General features: G+C 41.3%; 1 pseudogene, besides 2 other annotated features; it reads right to left on the bottom strand.

The window, feature by feature from the left end:
* Nucleotides 4,039-4,168: a silencer, noted in NCBI's record as "silent region_11848". NCBI's record gives its function as "represses an Ori minimal core promoter by ATAC-STARR-seq in GM12878 lymphoblastoid cells {active_cell/tissue: GM12878}" and the evidence as "EXISTENCE:reporter gene assay evidence [ECO:0000049][PMID:35858748]".
* Nucleotides 4,289-4,428: an enhancer, noted in NCBI's record as "active region_16340". NCBI's record gives its function as "activates an Ori minimal core promoter by ATAC-STARR-seq in GM12878 lymphoblastoid cells {active_cell/tissue: GM12878}" and the evidence as "EXISTENCE:reporter gene assay evidence [ECO:0000049][PMID:35858748]".
* On the bottom strand, nt 17,288-17,925 carry ILRUNP1 (ILRUN pseudogene 1; annotated as a pseudogene).
* Between the last annotated feature and the right edge of the window lie 4,682 nt (nt 17,926-22,607).

Below are 22,607 nucleotides of genomic sequence, written 5' to 3'. Positions count from 1 at the left end.
AGCTCAAATTGTTTTGTTTAGTTGTGAAGTGGAATCTCTTGCTTAACTTTAAAATAATATGAGTTCAAAAACATTAGATGCACCATCCATTATTGTAGAAGTGGTGGTTAAAATTTGGTCTTTCACCAAGATTCCTTGGAGAAATGGCCAAATGCAGGGATGGAGCACAGAAAGCACAGATGATCCTGGAATATCTCCTTGTGCCAGAAAGTATGAGTGTTCAAGGGATGATGGGGACATGGCATGAGACACAGGAGAATCCCACTGGCCAGATCAGGGCAGATGAGTGGTAAGCACAGTGGGTGATAATCCACCGAACAAAATACGAATGGAAAGGTGCACATAGACAGAAAGAGACAATGGAGACGGGTAAGTTTGCCTTTACAACAGAAAGCCAACTAATAAATCTTGAAGGCATAATGTGGTTAGAAAATCATCTGTGCATGCTACAACTAGTAGATGAAAGTTTAATGAGGAAACAGATATTGGCACTGTCTCATAGTATCACCCCAGAAATTACTTATGAATTCTAAAGTGAAAAATAAAAACTTTGAGCTGGAAAACACTGGCAGATGTCATGTTCACCAAGCAATCAGATCTCGCATCACCGATACTAGGACACACTAGCATCAAGTGCCTTCTGATAAGATACTTTGAGAGGATCACATATCGCTTCTGAAGTGTTCTTGCCAAAAACATATAACCTGAATCTAATTATTCAAATATATCCTAAAAATCCAAATTGCAGGATATTCTACCATGTAACTGGCCTGTACTTGAAAACAATGTCAAGGTCAAAAAGCATGAAGACTATTCCAGATCCAAGAAGATTAAAGAGAAAGGACAGCAAATGCAATGCATAATTCTGGATTGGATCTTGGATTAGGAAACACAATCACTATAAAGGACATTATTGGGACATTTTACCGAATTTGAATATGAGCTGTGGATTAAATTATGTCATTGTATGATGGTAAAATGTAGGATTATATCTATTCTGTAGTTAGTTATTCTTTGGAAATATACAAAAGTATTTAGACATTAAAGGACAACTTATCTCAGAAGATTCAGAAAAATAGGACAAACACAGAGAATGGTAAAGCAAATGTAGCAAAATGTTTAATAATTCATGAATCTAGGTGAAAGGGATCCAAGTATTCTTTGTGCCATCCTTGCAACTTTTCTGTAAGTCTGAAATTATTTTAAAATGAATATTTTTAAAAATACTTTTAGAGAGAAATCAACCAAATGCAATGTGTAGACTTATTTTTATCCCAAATGAAACAAACCAACTCTTAGCAGATATATTGGACACAATCAGGAGAGGTTGAACATGGACCATACGTATGGACAGTACTATATGACACCAAGGAATTATTGTTGATTTGGGAGCAGTGACAAAGGTAATTATGTTAAGAAAAAGGTCCATATTTAATAATAGTATATCTTGAAATAGTGACAGGTGAAATGATATACTGTCTAGGATTTGCTTGTCTTTAGATTTTTAAAAAACACTCCAGGAAAGAAAATGTGTGAAGATAAATGCATTAAAATCAGCAAGCTGGCTGGGCGTGGTGGCTCACGCCTGTAATCCCAGCACTTTGGGAGGCTGAGGCAGGCTGATCACGAGGTCAGGAGATCAAGACCATCCTGGCTAACACAGTGAAACCCCGTCTCTACTAAAAATGCAATAAATTAGCCGGATATGGTGGCAGGCACCTGTAGTCCCAGCTACTCGGGAGGCTGAGGCAGGAGAATGGCGTGAACCTAGGCAGTGGAGCTTGCAATGAGCCGAGATCGCGCCACTGCACTCCAGCCTGGGTGACACAGTGAGACTCCATCTCAAAAAATAAAATATAAAATAAAATAAAATAAAATAAAATAAAATAAAATAAAATAAAATAAAATAAAATAAAATAAAATAAAAATAAAATAAAATAAAATCAGCAAGCTGTTGGCAATTGTTGCAACAAGGTGGTGGTTACATAGGGCTTCATTACACTCTATTCTCTCTTCTTTTGTGTATCTTTGCACTTTTCCATAATAAGCTTTTTAGAAGTTAAAAAGAAAAAGAAAAATACCTTCCTGAAATATTTCCCTGCTGGATGACTTTATGTAAAATGATTAGCAATCCAGTTTTTGTCATTTTTCTCTTCAACTCTGTTTTGCCATTTTATTTTATCTTATTGTATGTATTTATTATTGTTATTATTTGAGATCAAGTCTCACTTTATCGCCTAGGCTGGAGTGCAGTGGCATGATCTCAGCTCACTGCAGCCTCTGCCTCCTGGGTTCAAGCGATTCTCATGCTTTAGCCTCCCGAAGAGCTGGAACTACAGACATGAGCCACCACACACAGCTAATTTTTTTATTTTTCGTATAGACAGGGTTTCACAATGTTGGCCAGGCTGGTCTTGAACTCCTGGCCTCAGGTGATCCGCCCGCCTCAGCCTCCCAAAGTCCTGGAATTAAAGGAGTGAGCCACCACGCCCAGCCTGTTTTGCCATTTTAAAGAAAGCAATAGTTCTCTGTAAAACAAAAAAAGTATGCTATTCACGTGCTCCTGTATTTCTACAGAAATGTAATGATGAGATAAATATTCCAAACATTCATGCCTACATGATCTGTTCTTTTAGTGACGAATCTCTTGACATGTGACTGGGATGATTTTGCTCATCTTCCACTGAGCAGCTCCCACCTAACAGGTGCGTCAGTCCCCAGAGGCATGAGGCTGAGACGCGATCCGGCTATAAGGAGACACATGTTCTAGCCATGAAGTGTAGCAGAGACTCTGTGCAGAGGCGAGCACTCAGCAGAGTGGAGGCAGTGTGGCCAGCATCGGCCCAGGCCACAGGCATCAGTAGGTGTCTGCAGAGGCAGTGCCAACACCCAGTGGCAGGGGCCTCAGTTCCCTCAGTGGGAGGGCTGTAGGTCAGGGCCAGCTTTCTAGGAAACATAAAGCTTGCAATGAGTCTTAAAGATCAGTGGGAAGTTCCTTGCCAGGTCCTATACTTGAAGGAAAGTCATTCTTAGTAAAAGGTACAGGCATGAGCAAGGGCCCTGAAGCAAGAATAAATCTTCCAAGCAGGAAAGCAGGACGACAGAGGCAGGGCAGGAGGTGGGCATGGACCAAAAAGAGAGTGTCACATTGCAGGGCTGGACAGGCATGCCGAGCCGAGGGCCCCTCAAGGATCCCTGGGGAAGGGCCTGGAAGGGACAAGGCCAGTGGCTAGGTGACAGGGCAGAGGCGAGGGCCCCGGTGTCTGACCTGAGCGACTGATCACCTGGGAAGCGTTACTGAGCTGACGAATGCGACAGAAGAGAAGGTGGGTGGAGACTAGGACCTGTAGAGTCCTGGGTAAGTTGACCCTGTCACAAAGGCCAGCAGGAACTTCCAGCGATATCAGGAGAAAACTGGCCAGGGGAACAGATGGGATGGCCTAACGGATGGGATGCAGGAGAGAAGGGCCAGAGGCAGGAGGGAAGAACAGAAGGACCCGCAAGGACAGGAAAAGGAGAGAGCTGGGAAGAAGAAAAGCTGCCCTCAACCTGGCTTTTGACTACCAGCTTGCCATTGTCAAGTAGGTTCCCAGAATGTGGGAGTGAGTTTGTGACCTAGAACCACAGAGTACTCTGCGATTCCTCCACAGTGGCCCCATTCCTGCAACACTGTAACTGACTGAGCCATAAACCCTGTGAGGGCTGAGAATCAGGCATTTTTCTCTGCTTCATGAAGAGTTAAAAGAATGTGGCACGAATTCCGCATAATGATGTCCGCGATGGTTTCCAGCAATCTTTGCACCAATTCTTCAAGGATATTTCCCCAAATAACCTTCATTTCTGAGCTCATAGTCATGAGTGCATAAATGATTAATATTAAAATTCATCTCTTTTACAGTCTGTTTCAAACTTCACTCTCCTCCCACCCACTGACTAAAGGAAAGACACGTTTCCTAAGTGTCTTATTACAAGAATACTTTTAAAGGAGACCATAACATCTTAAATTTCAAAAGCAATTTACTGATCTAATATTTGATTGCTTTTTCTCTAAGGAGGCTTTCTTCAGTGCATTGAGAAGAAGGGACAGCTGTGACCTCAGTTTATAGCGGTCTCTCGGTTTATTACTTTCACTGCATCAGTGGTGTGAGATCAATATCACTACACTGGGAATTAGAAGCCCTAGGTCTGACCACAGACGCTCCTCAAACACCTGTGATTTGGTTAAGTTTCTTAATTCTTAGAGTCTCAGTTTCATCCTCTGTGTTTGTATGAGTTTCCTCTAGCTGTTGTCACAAATTTTTGCAAGCTCAGTAGCTTAAAATAACCCAGATTCATTATCCGACAGTTCTGAAGGTGAGGAGCCGCAGTAGGTCTCTGTGGGCTGGAGTTAGGGTGTCTGCAGCCCCTCTGCAGGAAGGGAGCATCTGTGTTTAGAAATATTCCACTTTTCATAATAATACTGGATGTGGAGAGATTTACTCTTACATTCCTAAATGTTGTCCAACATTTTTGAGCTTCTCAAGCAGTTCTGACCAATAGAAATATAATGTAAACCACATATGAAACTAAAAATTGTCTAGTCACCACATTAAAAAGTAAAAAGAAATACAGGTAGAATTAAATTTAATAATATTTTGCATTTAATTTAATGTACAAGCAACATCACCTCAACATATAAATATTTAAAATAGTTAATGAGATATTTTATATTCCTGTTTTTGTTATTCACTCAGGTGAATAACAATCAGGTATGAGGTTTACACCTACAGCCCACCTCAATGCACATTCTTTGCATTATAAGTGCTCAAAGTCACTCAGATGACAATTGGCCACTGTATCGGAGAGCACAGTTTTAAAGGGTACTTCACTTTTATTAAACAAACACTTTACATAATTCAGAAGGGCTCAAAATTTAAACAGCATTATATTTAATGTACAATTGCTTTTTTTTTTTTCTTTTTTTTTTTTTAGATGGAGTCTTGCTCTGTCACCCAGGCTGCAGTGCAGTGGCACAATCTCAGCTCACTGCAACCTCTGCCTCCTGGGTTCAAGCAATTTTCATGCCTCAGCCTTCTGAGTAGTAGCTGGGACTACAGAAGCCTGCCACCATGCCTGGCTGATTTTTTTTATTTTTAGTAGAGACGGGGTTTTGCCATGTTGGCCAGGCTGGTCTGGAGCTCGTTACCTCGGGTGATCCACCTGCCTCGGCCTCCCCAAGTGCTGGGATTACAGAGGTGAGCCACCGTGCCTGGTTCACATTTACTTTTGGAATCACCACTGATCATTAATTTGTTTATGACAGTTGAATAAGAGCTACATGCAGCATGATTTTTTCTCCCTTTAAACAATTGTTGGGCTTATACTAGTTAAAGATCAATGTGTTTAATTCCCCCAGAATATAAATTAAGTTTATTTTCCCCCCTTTCACTGAAGTTCATTCTGTTAAGGAAATTATAAGTGCACAAAAAGTAACTCAGGCTCCTGTATGTTGATAGTTTATACCACTTTGAATTGAATCTTTGCATCACCCATCATAAATAATTTATCTTAATAAGATTTCAGTCTTTACTAATGACATTAAGCACCTGGTTTTACTCGAGCTGGGCCTATTAGCTCAGTAGAGAAAACGCTATGTTTAGGAGTCTAAGATTTCTAGTTAAGGGAGTAGACTCGATATATAACCTGAGGACTCATCCCATAAATGCAAGATATGGGCAGGACTCTATCAGATGGGAAAGGTGAGGGCAAGTGGGTAAAGGTAAACCTATCAGTACTGCTAAAAACAGCCTAAAGTCCATGCTTTAAAGTTGCTGTCTGGTGGTGTTATTTTTATATTGAAAAAAAGAGCACATCATTATTTAGAAAATAAAGCCACAATACATGTCCTCAGGTTCCTGTCAACAAAAACATAGCAACCAGCTGGTGTATGATTCATTTTTCACAAGAATATTTTTAGATTTGTTTCGACTTGTGCTCCAACTGTTCCATGGTACAATTTGAGAAATGAAAGTGCACAAGAGTAAAGAGTAAATAATAAGTACAATACTTAGTATCAACTTGTTATTACCCAGTTCAAAGTTCAGCAATCACTACTTATCCTGCTAGAAAGAACGAGGAGTCTCTATTCTTGGATAAACACATTCTACTAATGGATATTACTTTTCTCAGTTTAGAATATGCATTACCCAAAGTGCAAATTAAAATTTCAAAACTCAAAGTTTATTTAATTGTCTTTCCCTAAGACTGTTGGACTTGCACTGATAAGTATTAATAACAGGAGTACTTACTTTTTAAAAGCCACCTTTCCTTTATGCTTTCATTCAAGGATAATGTGTAATGTTTACTTCTGACTTTGGTGGAATTAACTTGTTTCAGGCCAACCTCCTCATTGTTAATAACTAGAAAAGCTAGAGATAATAAAATAAATATCACTGTGAAGATCCCAGAGAGATGGGAAACCCAGGGAAGTCAGCCCAACATGTGATCTGACTTTTTCTCCTGGAGACATTTGCCACTCAGACAACATAGACTGAGAAGCACACAGTCAGGACAGACAGCAGCCGCTGAGAAACTAAGTGTAACTTGAAACAATTCCAAGGAACTGGCGGGAAAAGCAAAGAAGGCTATTTTCTTTCAGCAAAAACAAGGGACCCTAATAGATACCCAAGCTTCCAGTTTGGACCTTGGAAGGGGTAAACCCTAGAGACAGGGGTGCCAGAAATAGAGTATCCTCCCAAAGAATGAGGCCCAGGTTCAAGTCATCTCACTCTCTGATTAGATTAAAGGACCCACCCTTCTGTGAGAAACAATAGTAAATCCTCTCTTGAGGAAGATAACATCACACAGAGATTCAAATTAACTACAATTATTGTGGAGACAAAAGTGACTCCATCTTGGATGCTAATCTGCCATGTTGACTTCTGATTAGTTCCAGTCCCGTGAATGCCTCCTGGTTCCTACTTTATTTGCTGTTCTTAGTGTGAGAACATGTACTCAACATAAATCCTGCCTTTAGATCCAAGCACCCTTGATGTGGTCACCAAGATTATAGGCCATGACGCACACAGCATCCTTGCCTGTTCTAGAGGGTTGCCTTCAATTGTTTCTGTAGAGCGCATACCCCTTTCCCTATGGTATGTAAGCCCTGAGTCTAGGAAGTAATAGTGTGGAAATCTACCTGTCTTGCAGCTGCTTGAGACCATGCTTCCATCCATAAGTTCCCTAATAAATTGCCCTCCATCGACAAACTAGATTTGTCTGCTTAGTTCTTTGGTTTCTTGGATCTTTCCACATTTGAGAGTCACTTTGTATATGTAACTCCTTCACACAACAGTTATATATAGCATACATACTCATCTGGCATTTATATAAAATAATCAGGGACACAAAAAGATAGATAATCAAATATGGAATTTAAATCCTGCTAACAAAGGAATCCTAGGCCTAGATGGCTCTACCTGTGAATTCCTATAAATGTTTATGAAAGAAATAACAAAAATATTACATAAATTTCCCAGAAAATATAAAAAGAAAGACTGCATTCCACTCATTAAATGAGGAGAAAACTTGAATATCAAAATCTGTGGACATCAAATGAAATGAAAATTATCAACCAAGCTTTTTCATGAACATTGATGCAAAAACCTCAAAGAAAATATTAGAAAATATAGCCTAGCAATAATTTTAAAAATCACAACCAGTTGGAGTTTTCAAGGAATGTAAGGTTGGTTTGACGTTTGCAAATAAAACAATGTATCTTACCACATTAATACAATAAAGAAGAAAAAGACATGATCATATCAGTAGTGCAGCAAAAACACTTGGTAAAAACAAACACCTTTTTTAAAAGCACCATGAACATACCTCAGGGAAAGGACACTCTTCAATAAACAGTGCTGTAAAAATTGGATATTCATAAGCAGAAGAATGAAACTGGACCCCTTTCTCTCACCATATACAAAAATCAACTCAAAATGGATTAAAGACTTAAATGTAAGACTCGAAACTATAAAATGATTAGAAGAAAACGTAGGGGAAACACTTCAGGACTTGAGTCTAGGCAAACATGTTATGGCTAGGACCTCAAAAGCACAGGCAACAAAAATGACAATAGAATGATGGGACTTCATTAAACTAAAAACTTCTGCACAACAAAGGAAACAATCAACAGAGTGAAGAAACAGCCAGTTGAACGGGAGAAAATATTTGCAAACCTTTCATCCAACAAGGGACTAATATCCAGATTATACAAGGAACTCAACTCAACAGTGGGGAAAGAAAATCCCATTAAAAAGGGGACAAAAGACATAAGTAGACATTTCTCAAAAGAAAGCACACAAATGGCCAGCAATGAGTTTATGAAAGTTTATGATAAAATGTTCAACATCACTAATCATCAGGGAAATGCAAATCGAGACTAAAACGAGAAAGCATCTCACCCCAATTAGGATGGCTATTATTAAAAAGACAAAATAATTTACAGATGCTCCAAGAATGCAAAGAAAAGGGAACTCAAACACTGTTGATGAGAATGTAAATTAGTACAGCCACTATGAAAAACAGTACAGAGATTTCTCAAAAAACTAAAAGGAGAACTATTGTATGATTCAGCAATCCCACTACTGGGTATTTATCCACAGGAGAGGAAATCAGCATATAAAACGGATATCTGCACTCCCGTGTTTATTGCAGCACTATTCATAATAACGAAGACGTAGAATCAACTTAGATGTCCATTAGTGGATGAATGAATAAAGAAGATGTGGTACATATACACAATGGAATACTATTCAGCCTTAAAAAGAATAAAATCATGTCATTTGCAATAACATGAGTGGAACTGGAGGTCATTATGTTAAGTGAAATAAGTCAGGCACATAAAGACAAACATCGCATGTTCTTATTCATATGTAGGAGCTAAAACAGTTGCTCTCATGAAGGTAAAGAGTAGAATGATAGATACCAGAGGCTGGGAAGGGTGTGTGGGTAGTGGCAGGGGGTGTGGAGGGAAATAGAGAGAGATTGGTTAATGGGTACAAACACATAGTTAGAAGGAATAAGTTCTAATGTTAAATAGCAGAGTAGGGTGACTATGATTAATAACAATTTATTGTATATTTCAAAATAGCTAGAAGAGAAGACCTGAAATGTTCCCAGCACATAGAAATGATAAATACTCAGGGTGATGAACACCCCAAATACCCTGACTGGATCATTACATATTTTATGCATGTAACAGAATATCAGATGTACAAATGTTACATATCAATTAAAAATCATCAGCAAACTAGAAATAAAAACAAACTTTCTTAACTTGGTAAAGAATATTTATAGGCCAGGCGCAGTGGCTCATGCCTATAATCCCAGCACTTTGGGAGGCCAAGGCGGGCGGATCATGAGGTCAAGAGTTCGAGACCATCCTGGCCAATATGGCAAAACCCTGTTTTTACTAAAAATACAAAACCCTGTTTCTACTAAAAATACAAAAATTAGCCAGGCGTGGTGGCGGGCACCTATAATCCCAGCTACTCGGGAGGCTGAGGCAGGAGAATCACTTGAACCCGGGAGGCGGAGGTTGCAGTGAGCCAAGATTGTGCCACTGCACTCCAGCCTGGGCGACAGAGTGAGACTCTGTCTCAAAAAAAAAAAAACAAAAAAAAAACAAAAAAAAAAAAACTGGGACTTTCAACTCCCTATTCCTCCCCACCCCACTCCCTATATTTATAAGACACAATCTCTGAACCACAACAGTCTTGTAAAATTGAATGCCAATAATTTTGGTCTAAAGTACTAAATTATAATAAAAGCCTTCAGTAACAGAAGCTTAAGGCATAATCCCTTCTGGGAGTAATTGTAGTTTAAGTAGAAAAAACTTTAATTTTTTTTTAACTACCTAAATGAATAAAATTAAAATCATGTAATCACAAATAGTAGAGTTATCTGAGAGTAGATAATAATATCTGCCTAATAATCTCTATTTTGCCCCAATATTGCTCATCCCTGAATAAGTGTTCAAAAGAAAAAGTTAGCACAAGCAAATGGGGCATAGGTGGTCATCCTACCCAATGACTTTCAAAAGTTATTCCTCAAAACTATTGTGTTCTGAGATAGCTCTACACCCACCTTTCAGTTAACAACTTGAGAGGCATTAAAAAGCAATTCATCTAGTCTCTGTCATTTGAAAAACAAAGAATCTGGGTTCTAGAAAGTTGACATTATCTACATTCCTGGACCAAAAATTATGATACCTATTTCTAAGAAGACATAAAAATTTACCCAAAAGGTCTGTCTCTTTTAGTTTGCAAAGAATTTTAAAAAAATTATCTTCCAAATACCATAAGATCTGACCACAGGTATGCTATTATGGAGGACAGATTTCCATTTACTGTGGAAATATTTGTGGAAGGGACTCACGAGCTTCCAAAGAAGTGATGAAGACATAAGTTATAATCTGCATCTTTGGGTTTGGCCAAAAATCGAAAAGCAACTCCTAGGACTGTATTTAATGCCATAACTTTTTATTACCATGCTACCATGGAGCCCAAAATTCAACTCTTTGTACTGGAAAACATCCTTCTACTGAGTAAGCTTTACTTCTAGGGCCCAAACACAATAAAACTATGCAAACAGAATTTGAATCTAATACCCTCAAAGCACTTTGACAATGTTTTTAGCCAAGTTGCACTACTTAAAAAAAAATGGCAAAAGATTAGCCAAAACAGCCTTAATAGAAGTATGTTTAGTGAGCTTCTGTCTTAGTCTGTTTGTGCTGCTATAATAGAATACCACAGACCTAGGCTAGGTGTTCATGTCTACAATCCTCACACTTTGGGAGGCCAAGGCAAGAGCATTACTTGAGCCCAGGAGTTTGAGACCAGCCTGGGCAACTTAGTGAGACTCCACCTCTACTAAACAACAACAACTTACAAGATTAGCTGGGTGCAGTGGCATATGTCTGTAGTCCCAGCTTCACGGGAGGCTGAGGTGGGAGGGTCACTTGAAACCAGGAATTTGAGGCTATAGTGAGCTATGATCATGTTGCTGCATTCCAGCCTAGGCAACAGAGTAAGACTCTGTGCCTCTTTAAAAAAATAAAAAAAAGAACACCACTGACTAGGTAATTTATAAAGAATAGAAATCCAAAGTCATAACATCAAAAAATGAAAGAACAAATTTATTTTCTCAAAGTTCTGGAGGCTGAAGGCAAGAAGGCAAGAGAGCCAAATGCTACACGAAGTCTCTTTTATAAGGACCTTAATCCTTTTCACAAAGGAAAAGCCCTCATGGCCTAATCACCTCTTGAAGGCCTCACCTCTTAATACTATCACATTGGCCAGTAAGTTTCAACACTTGAATTTTGAAGGGGACACATTCCAACCATAGCAGTGGCACTAGATGTGATTTAATGTTTCTCTAAAATAATATTTCATGACATTAACAAACTGCATTCAAATCGGTTTTTATCATCTTTCATGAATGTAAGAAATTATGACAAAATGCAGAAGGATGACTATGGTCATAAATTCAAAAGTAAAATCCTCAGATTGTAATTTTGTCAATTGCCCCTGGTGTTTTATTATTATTGTTGTTGCTGCTGTTCAACTGAATTAGTAAATAAAAATACTCATTTTTGTGGAAATATTTTTGGATTGTGCATATTAGAACAATTTTGTCAGACTAGTTTACTTATTTTTGCTAGCTAAGTGGTCTCACTGACCAACCAGCTAGTCGCAAGAAATTAAACGCACAGGGCCGGGCGCAGTGGCTCACACCTGTAATCCCAGCACTTTGGGAGGCTGAGGCAGGCGGATCACGAGGTCAAGAGATTGAGACCATCCTGGCTAATGCGGTGAAACCCTGTCTACTAAAAATACAAAAAATTAGCCAGGCATGGTGGTAAGTGCCTGTAGTCTCAGCTACTCAGGAAGCTGAGGCAGGAGAATTGCTTGAACCCGGGAGGCAGAGGTTGCAGTAAACTGAGATTATACCACTGCACTCCAGCCTGGGCGACACAGCAAGACTCCGTCTCAAAAAAAAAAAAAAAGAAAAAAGAAATTAAACACGGAACAGAAATTGTACCTTAGTCTCATCTCACTTAGTCATCTTGCTAACCTATGTTGTTAATTACAAAGAAGACTACTCAGGAGATGTCAGTGAGCACTTCCACTACATAGATACATAAGTCTGCATACTTTTCCTCTCTGCTTGGAAATTAAACAAAAGCAAATGGAGAATGAAAAATAGAAATAATTTCCAGATGCTAAAATATCAAAACACATGTCATGTGGAAGGAGACAGAAAAATAATGAGCAGGTGATAAGGGACCCTGCAAAGGCACAACTCAGAATGTACCATTAAAAATATATGCTATGCTATAGATGTAAGTGGCTCACTCTAGAAGGGAAAGACTATATTCATCCTTTGTAGCAATGGCTGGAGATATTGGAGTAAGTACAGCCAGTAGAAGAAACATTGCTAGACTATGTTTGATTCATAGAAGCAGAGGAAAGAATCATATGCCCGATCAATAGATGCAGAAGCAATCTTTGTTTTTGGTGGGAGAAGTGAGAGAGCCTTTGAATTGTGAAGCTTAGGAAACCAACCTGGTCTTCCCCTTCCCTCCCTCCAGTTCTCAACGCTCTATACACACACACACACACACACACACACACACACACACACACACATCTCCTGCAAATAGCTGGCTCATAAAAAGCCAATTAGTTCAATAGTTTTATGGATATGTAGAAAAATAAAATTTTTCAAAAGAACTACATAACACCGATATAAAGATATTATAAGAATAAATATTTTAGGCGGAGCGCGGTGGCTCATGTCTGTAATCCCAGCACTTTGGGAGGCCAAGGTGGGCAGATCACCTGAGATTAGGAGTTCGTGACCAGCCTGGCCATTATGGTGAAACCCGGTCTCCACTAAAAATACAAAAACTAGCCGGGCATGGTGGCGTGTGCCTGTAGTCCCAGCTACTCAGGAGGCTGAGGCTGGAGACTCACTTGAACCTGGGAGGTAAAGGTTGCAGTGAGCCGAGATCGCGCCACTGCACTCCGGCCTGGGTGACAGAGCGAGACTCCATCTCAACAACAACAACGACAAAAGAATAAATATTTTAAAAATGTATCAAAGCAATTAACTTTAGAAAGAAAAACCAGAAACAGAAATGCAAGATTTCAGGGAAGATATCCACAAAGTAGTAAAAGAAAAGACTTGCTACAAATTTAAACACAAAATTAAATGACACATAAGGAGATCAGACATTTTAAGAAAAAACATTAGAAATGTATATATATATGGTTACAAATGAGAAAAGAGAATACAATGAAATGGATATGTCAGAAAATTAAACGAATTACAGAGAAAAATAGAATAACTGGAAGACACATGAAGATGACTAAAGAAATTTATTTTTTTCCCAAAGAAGAAAACCAAAACAATAAACCACAGAAAAATTTAAATATTGAAATCAAGAAATGTTCCTGAAATTCAAGAGGACTGGCATCTGTATAAGGCTTATTGTTCACTGGGAAAAAATGAGCCCAGAGTGGTCAACATTGAAGCATATCTCTACAAGAAGAACTACAAAACACTGCTGAAAGAGATTACAGAAATGGAAAAACATTCATGCTCACAGATTGGAAGAATTGATATTGTTAAAATTGCCATACTACCTAAAGCAATCTATAGATTCAATGCTATTCCTATCAAACTACCAGCATCATTTCCACAGAACTAGAGAAAACTATGCTAAAATTCATATGAAACTAAAAAAGAGCCCAAATAGCCAAAGCAATCCTAAGCAAAGAACAAAGCTGGAAACATCACATTACCTGACTTCAAACTATATAACCAGAACACCGTGGTACTGATACAAAAACAGACATGTAGACCAATGGAACAGAAAAGACAACCCGAAAGTAAAGCTGCACACCTGATCTTTGACAAAATTGACAAAAACAAGCAGTGGGAAAGGACTCCCTATTCAATAAATGGTGCTGGGATAGCTGGCTAGCCATATGCAGAAGAATGAAGCTCTATCTGTACCTTTCACCATATACAAAAATTAAAGATGGATTAAAGACATAAATATATGACTTAAACTATAAGAATCTTAGAAGAAAACCTAGGAAGCACCATTCTGGACATCAGCCTTGGGAAAGAATTTATCACTAAGTCCTCGAAAACAATTGTAACAAAAACAAAAATTGACAAGTGGGACCTAATTAAACTAAAGAGCTTCTGCACAGCCTAAGAAACTATCAACAGAGTAAACAGACAACCTACAGAATGAGAGGAAAATATTCACAAACCATGCATCTGACAAAGGTCTAATATCCAAATCTATAAGGAATGTAAACAATTCAACAAGCAAAAAAAAAAATCCTGTTAAAAAGTGAACTAAAGATATAAACAGACACTTCTTAAAAGACATACAAGTAGTCAACAAACATGAGAAAATGATCAATATCACTAAATCATCAGAGAAAAGCACATCAAAACCACATTGAGATAACATCTCACACCAGTCAGAATGCTATTATTTAAAATGTCAAAAAATAGTAGATGCTGGCAAGCAAGGCTGTGGAGAAAATGGAACACATATACCCTGTTGATGGGAATGTAAATTAGTGCAGCCATTGTAGAAAGCAGTGTCTGGAGATTTCTCAAAGAACTTAGAACTGCCATTCGACCCAGCAATCCTATTACAGGGTATATATCCAAAGGAAAATAAATTGTTCTACCAAAAAGACACATGTACTTGTATGTTCATCACAGAGCTATTCACAATATCAATGCCATGGAATCAACCTAAGTTCCCATCAACAGTAGATTAGATAAAGAAAATGTGGTACATATGCACCACGGACTGCTACACAACCATAAAAATGAATAAAATCATACACTTTGAAGTAACACGGATGCAGCTGGAGGCCATTATCCTAAGTGAACTGAAGACCACATGTTCTCACTTATAACTGGGAGCTAAGCATTGGGAACACATAGATACATTAATGGGAATAACAGACACTGGGGACTACTAGATGGGGGTGGGAGGAAGGAAAGTCAGCAGTGATTGAAAAACCATTGGGTACTGGCCAGGCGCGGTGGCTCACACCTGTAATCCCAGCACTTTGGGAGGTCAAGGTGGGTGGATCACTTGAGGTCAGGAGTTCGAGATCAACCTGGCCAACAAGGCGAAACCCCATCTCTACTAAAAATACAAAAATTAGCTGGGCATGATGGTGCACACCTGTAATCCCAGCTACTCGGGAGGCTGGGGCAGGAGAATCGCTTAAGCCCGGGAGGCGGAGGTTGCAGTGAACCAAGTTCACGCCATTGCACTCCAGCCTGGGGGAGAAGAGCAAGACTTTGTCTCAAAAACAAACAAACAAACAAAAACTATTGGGTACTATCTAGATGATGATGGGATTAATCATACCCCAAGCCTCAGCATCACGCAATATACCCATGTAACAAAGCACGTCCTGAACCTGAAATAAAAGTTGAAATTACTTTAAAAAACACACACAGAAACACACAATTTAAATATATAATTCAAGAAAGGTTCCTGCAATTAAAGAAAACTAATATCTATGTAAGGATCATGGTTTGCTAGGAAAATATTAATCCAGAATAGTCAACACTGAAGCATGTCATAGTAAAAGGCACACACACATACACACACACACACACACAAATCACTTATAAAGGAACACATGTGTCTGGTCACAAAAAGACTGAATGCTAAATGATAGTAAAACAACACCTATAAGATACCCAAAGGAAGAAAATGTGACCCAAGAGCCATCTAAGCTGCTCTCAAAAATAAAAGCTACAGATAAATTGTTTTAAACATGAAAAAGCTCAAACAATATTCCCACGAGCCTTTTTAAAGACTCTTCCAGAAGACCGAACAGTAGTCAAGCAAGAGCTGATGGGGGAGATTTGGGCAAAAGGACTGGCGATCAGTATCAAATATATTTAACTTTACTACTGAGGCTGAAACCTCTGGGTTTCAGAAGTTGAAGTGAGAAAATAATATGTAAATATTATACATGCTGACAAAAACTTGGGGGAAAAGGGGGAAAAAAGTGGGTGTGGATGGGCGCCAATGCAGAAGAGAAAGAAATGTATTGCGGGATTTATAAGTAATAGCTGAGAGTCAGAGGATTTTATTTAAAGCCAACAAACCATGTAATAAAAGTCTAAGCATATTTAACAGTACAAAAATAAATACTAAGAAAGGTAGTACTGGGTAATATTTGGTAGTAGAGGAGAGATAGAAGGAAAGAGAAAACAGTAATTATATTGCACATTTTAGGTGGGAATAAGGTACCACTAAAGGAAAAGAGGATTAAAGTTATTACATAACGGTATAAATATAAGGCTAGACACCACAACACAAACACAAGCATTCCTGAACATCAAACGCACACACACACACACACAAAAGAGAGAAAACCAACAATATAGTGAACAACCTGAAGAATAACTATCAAAGTAGCTAGTATCAAATGAAAGGACAGAACTAAGAGCCAGTATTTTTTTTTCACACATACATACTAAGTTTACTCAAAACTAGTCTGTTCTGCTTCTTCCTCTTCTTCCGGGATGAGAGGGGGTCAGAGCCAGGGGTCTGTGCAATGCGATCTGCAATCCAGACAAACCCCTTGCCCCACCCCCAAAGTCAGGCCTTCTGTCTTTTGTTAATTTTTCTTCTTGCTGACACCCATTTAAGACTGGCCGAAGGGGGCAGGGCGCAGTGGCTCACGCCTGTAATCCCAGCACTTTGGGAGGCCGAGGCAGGAGGATCTCAAGGTCAAGAGATCAAGACCATCCTGGCCAACATGGTGAAGCTCCATCTTGACTAAAAATACAAAAATTAGCTGCGCGTGGTGGTGCGTGCCTGTAAGTCCCAACTATTCAGGAGGCTGAGGCAGGAGAATTGCTTGAACCTGGGAGGCAGAGGTTGAAGTGAGCCGAGATCACGCCACTGCACTCCAGCCTGGGCAACAGAGCAAGACTCCATCTCCAAAAAAAAGACTGGCCGAAGGGGTAAGGCCCACGGAGCCCCTTACTGTAAGTCACTACTGATAAGTTGTTTGCATGACTGCTGGGAGACAGATTTACAGAGTTCTGTGACAGTCTGCTCTGGTCTTGCTCAGCTTGGTCAGGAGCAGCAGCCCATGTGTTTTTGCTGATCGAGTAGAACTCGGAACCCCCAGGGTCTTATAAGTTGTTTTCATCTGATTGTTGGTTCTTTTGGGAGAGGCAAAAGGGTTGAAGTTTCCTTCTACCTTGCTATGCGGTTGTGTTGAACTCCGTTTCAAAAGATGACAGCTGCTGTGTTACTTCTAAAAGTCCACCCACCTCTACACTGAGAATCACCCAGATGACATCTCCATAGTAGAGTCCTGTAGCAGTGCACATCCGTCACCATCCCTGATACATTCCTGCTCTGCTGGGGCTGCACATCTGGACAATAACATCTGTAATCTCTTGCGGCTCTAGCAATCTCACCATCAGCATGCTCACATGTCCAACTTGGTCTCCCCCGACATATTTAGGACAAACCCCTGGAGGCCAGGCCTCTGCCACAGAATTCTGGATCCACCAAGTTTTTACAAACTGAGTATCAGGAGGTATTGACTACCCTTCCTCTAGGGTGACATCTTCAACAAAGGACACAGAGGGCACACTGATGTTTGAGCTCTCAAAGGCATAAGAGGCACCAATTGCTGCTTGTAGGTTCCAGTTGGTCCTGTCCAGGAAGAAGGCGCAACTGGCAGGGTTGAGCTGGAAGCCGAGCAGCCTCTGGAACTTGGAGATGAGCACGTCTTTGTTGGTGGTGCTCAGGTAGTTGAAATTCTGCATCAGCTCCAGGTCCCGGTCCACGTCCATGCCCTCCATGGCAGGGAGCTGGACAGCTGTTTCCTCGCCTCTTCACAACCGAGCTGCCACCGTGCTGCCAGGCCCGGGGACCAGGAGGGGGCTGGCTGCTAGCTAGCATTGTGACCCCACTCCTTTGAGGTAGGCCCGGGGCCTCTCTCAGTCTCATAGGGGTAAGGTCACTCTGCCACTCCCTCTCCCCACCCCCACCCCTCTAGCTCCACCGCCTCTCGCCTCTCCAAAAGCAAACACATTATCAAGTTAATTCACCTTATCAAGTTAATTATCAAGTTAATTCACCTGTTAAACACTTATCAAGTTAATTCACCTATTAAATAAAAAAGATGTTTAGATTATATAACAACGCAAAACCCAATTCTACCCATATGGTAACATACAATTGCTAAAAAAATAAATAAATAAAAACAATAATTATAATTTGCAATCAAGCCTCATTTGAAGGCTCCTGTACCCCTTCCAAACTCATTCATGTGATTGCTGGCTGGTCTCAGTGGCACTGAAAGCCTTATTTAGTTCTTACTATGTGAGCATCTCCACAGAGCTGCTTGAGTGCACTTCAAACATGGCCACTTGCTTGCCCCTGAGCAAGTGATCTGAGACATAGACAGGAAGAAAGAGAGAGAGAAGAGAAAGAGGTGAGAAAGAGAGAGACAGAGATAGACAGAGAGACAGCCCAACATGAAAGCTGTAGTCCCTTATAAACCTAATCTCAAAAGTCACGAATCATTACTTCTTCTGAATTCCATTCACACAGATAATTTATTCACACTCACACAGATTTGCTCCGGTAAAAAATAGGAGGGGCCCACTCAGGATGTGGAGAGCAGGAGGTGGGGGTCTTTAGGTCATTAGGGCCATTTTGGAGACTCCCTGTGGAGCACCACAGACCCTGAGTGGAACGGAGGGAAAGGATGCCCAGAAGCATCCTAGACAGCTGTGTGCTCCCAGGGAGGCTGGGCAGGGCTACCAGGGGTGGCCCTTGGCAGAGTGCCGCGCCTCTCAAAAGCAGGGCTGTCCCATCACCCCTGCAATGCCCTGCCCTGGGCCGGAGCAGCCCCTGGGAGGCGCCCTCTCAGTGAAACCGTGACCGCTGGATCCAGAGCCCGCAGCAGGGCCTAGGCCACCGTGCCGTGTGGCTGAGCCGGCCAGGTGCGTTCTCACCGCTTCCGTGGGGACCACGGCTCACAGATCACATGCCCACGCTGTCTATATGGTTTTATAAATCATTAAACTTAAATGTTCAATGGTCATCTTAACCTAACCATTTAACCACTGTGTACATGTTTAAACTTCTCTGAACCCCCTCTGAGCTTGTGCTTCTTATTTCATAAAATGTGAATAATGGTGATTGCCTCCGAATTAGGAAGGGGAATCCCAAAGGTGCAATAATATGTGGGTCTCCTGCCAAGTGAAAGCAATCGCTGACGTGATGAAGACAATTTATCTATTTATGTGCCTCATTAAGCCGTAAAACTTGGGGCCAAACCTCAGGAAGCGATGCCAGCCTGCTGCGCTAGTCCGGGAGGGCGCTGCGGGAGATGGCGATGCCTTCCCAAGGCCCGGACGCCCTGCAGGAGATCTCTGCCGCGATCGTGGTGAGGCGCTGGGGGGACACCGCCTTGGGTGCGAGAGCAACCGTGCTGTGATGAGGAACAAGCAGAGTCCTCGAGAGGCAGGGAGTGTGAGAGGTGCTGAGCTCGGCCGCCGCGGGAACAACCAGGCGACAGCAAGAAAGCGCTGGGTGCTAAGGCTGGCTCGGACTGCGGGGACGCCTGGGAGGCTCTGGTGCTACCAGGGGTGGAGGCTGACACGGAACGACTGAAGTATGCTGTTCCAGCCGCCCCTCGCCACCCGCAGCAGAGACCAGAGGCTCTTGAGCTCGTCTCTGCCTGGAGCACGTGAAGCGCATGGCATATGGCCACTAACAGTGGGTGCCTTAGAGCTTTGGCTAGAGGCCTGAGGATGGAGGAGATTGCCATGGGCATCTCTGGACCCCAGGCCCTGGGGCTGCCTGCATTAGCTAAACTACCTCCCACCTGAGAGCTTTCTCAGGCAGCAGGAGTGACAGATAAAGATCCCCAGAGAAGCCTCCAAAGAAAGCCAGAGCTCCCCCAGCCGGACCAGGCCACCATGCCCACTGTGATAACTGGCCTTATGGAGGAGTTCTTAATGCCTCTTTTCCCTCCTGGCTTCCCTTCCCGCTCTCCCGCCAGCATTTTCTGGGATCGCCTCCTAAACAAACTGCACCTTGTCTCAGGCTCTGCTTCCGGGAAAACCAAGTAAAGACAAGGGTGTAGTCCTACGGCCCAGGGACAGCCTGCAGGACCCCAATGTGCATCTCACCTCACCACGGGCATCTCTGGGCTGAGCATCAAGCTAAATAGGATTCCTGCACTCCCCCACATCATCCATCAGTCAGGAGCCTTTTCTCAGCTGAGACCTGCAGAAGCAATCAAGACAGGCAATCCATGATGCTGTGTGTGTCACTGAAGCACAATTGTAGTATCTCCAAAGCAGAAGAGCAAGAAAAATAACTATTATTTTACCTTATGCCATTTCATTCTCAGAAGGGCTCCAAGAGCCTAACTGGATGAAGAAACAGACTCCGTCAGGCTCTATAACTTGGCCTTGTTCAAGGCTGGAAGCTGGACACTGACCCCAGGCTTTCTGATTTCACCCTTCCCATTGCTGTGCCAGAGGTTCTCCGCAGGTGGTCCCTGGACCAGCAGCATTAGCATCTCCTGGGAACTAGCTAGAAATGCAAATGTTCAGGGTCACCCCAGACCTGCTGCATCAGAAACTCGGGGGTGGGGCCGGGCCGTCTGTGTTCCACAAGCCCCTAAGGGACTCTGATGGCCACTCAAGGGTGAGACCCACATACTATAACACATTCTCCCAATAGGAAGGTCACTTTTGTTTTCAAAGACCTAAAAGGATGGTATTTCTATACTTGACATGGATGATAAGATCATCATGTCATAGTATGAATTTATTTTCATTTTTCCTCATTTTATTGAATGAGAAATAGATACCCACCAAGCAGAACTGGGTTCTGTCATAGACCCAGGAGGTGGTCTAGGAGTTCCAGGGCTGGCCCAGATGACATATTTAATATTAAAGGCAATTTACCTAATCTATGTGTCCCAATTTATACCAAAGAGAGCATGATACCAAATCTGACAATATGGTCATAAAGCCCAGAATGCTTAATAAACATGTGCTGAATGAATACATAAATCGCATTGACTGAAGGCAAAGTGGCATTCATTACTGAGTTTCTCAGTCCCTGTGTGGATCACGTGAAAGACTTAAGCCAAGAAATATGAAAACGGTTTGTACAGCAAATCACATAAATAAATTATTAGAAGTAGCAATATAAGGATAGCATAGTGGTTACATGTGTGCTAATAGCTTAGTCTGCCTAGGTTCAAATGCCAGCACAGACACTTACTAGCTAACTGACCTTAGGCAAGCTACTTAACCTCTGGCTCTCAGTTTTCCCAGCTTAAAAATGGCATAGGCCAGGTGCGGTGGCTTATGCCTGTAATCCTAGCACTTTGGGAGGCCGAGGTGGGTGGATCACGAGGTCGAAAGGTCAAGACCATCCTGGCCAACACGGTGAAACCCCGTCTTTACTAAAAATACGAAAATTAGCTGGGCGTGGTGGCGCACGCCTGTAGTCCCAGCTATTCAGGAGGCTGAGGCAGGCGAATTGCTTGAACCTGGGAGGCGGAGGTTGCAGGGAGCTGAGATCATGCCACTGCACTCTAGCCTGGTGACAGAGTGAGACTCCATCTCAAAAAAAAAACAAAAAAAAAAAAACAAGGGTGTAATAGTGACAACAATTGCAAGAGATTAAATGAGCTAATCCCTACTCTTCCAATAGCACTGAGAAATTTGCCCTGCCTTGCTCAGGCAGAATTAGGTTATCTCTCCTGAACTCAGACAACAGTCTGACTACGACAGTGGGTGCCACTGTAACACATGAATAAAATACAGGATACCCAGTTAAATTTGAATTTCAGATAGACTAGGAATAATTCTGTAGTATAAGTATGGCCCACATATTGCAAGGAGCATGATTCTACTATAAATATACTAAAAAAATTATTCCTAGCTTATCTGAAATAAAAACACAATTCAGCACACTTTTTTTTTTAAAGCAGGTAACTCTACTTTATCACCCCCACTTCATGGGAGAAGGACCATGGCTTACCTAACATTATATCCCTGGAGACCTGTAGAGTTCCTTGCCCACAATAGGTCATTAATAAATCTTTGATAAGTGGGTGAAGAGGAAATATTTCCACGAAAGGCGATTGGTCCCCCCATTGGGCAGTGTCAGAGCTTCAAGATGTGACTGTCAGGCCCTTTGGCTTGAGTAGGCAGGTTTTGGTCTTTGGTTAATCCCTAGAAACTACCAGTAGGAGAATAAATATGCCTAAATTGAGCACTGTAAAAACAAGCATTTCCTGCTAGCATGACATAGGACCCCATATTAGAGAACAGAGCCAGACATTCATTCTTCATTTAAGGGCTTTCTCTGTGCTATGTACTGGGCTAAGAACAAGGGACTTACAACCTAAATGTGAGAGAGAAAATAAGATTAATACAAGAAAAATGTTGGCATTGAACTAAGGGAATCGGGGCCTCGAGAGTATCAAACATTCACTGAAAAGAGA

This window comes from Homo sapiens, chromosome 2 (genome assembly GCF_000001405.40).
Source record: "Homo sapiens chromosome 2, GRCh38.p14 Primary Assembly".
Lineage (NCBI taxonomy): Eukaryota > Metazoa > Chordata > Mammalia > Primates > Hominidae > Homo > Homo sapiens.
This window is presented reverse-complemented; position numbering and strand designations above follow the sequence as displayed.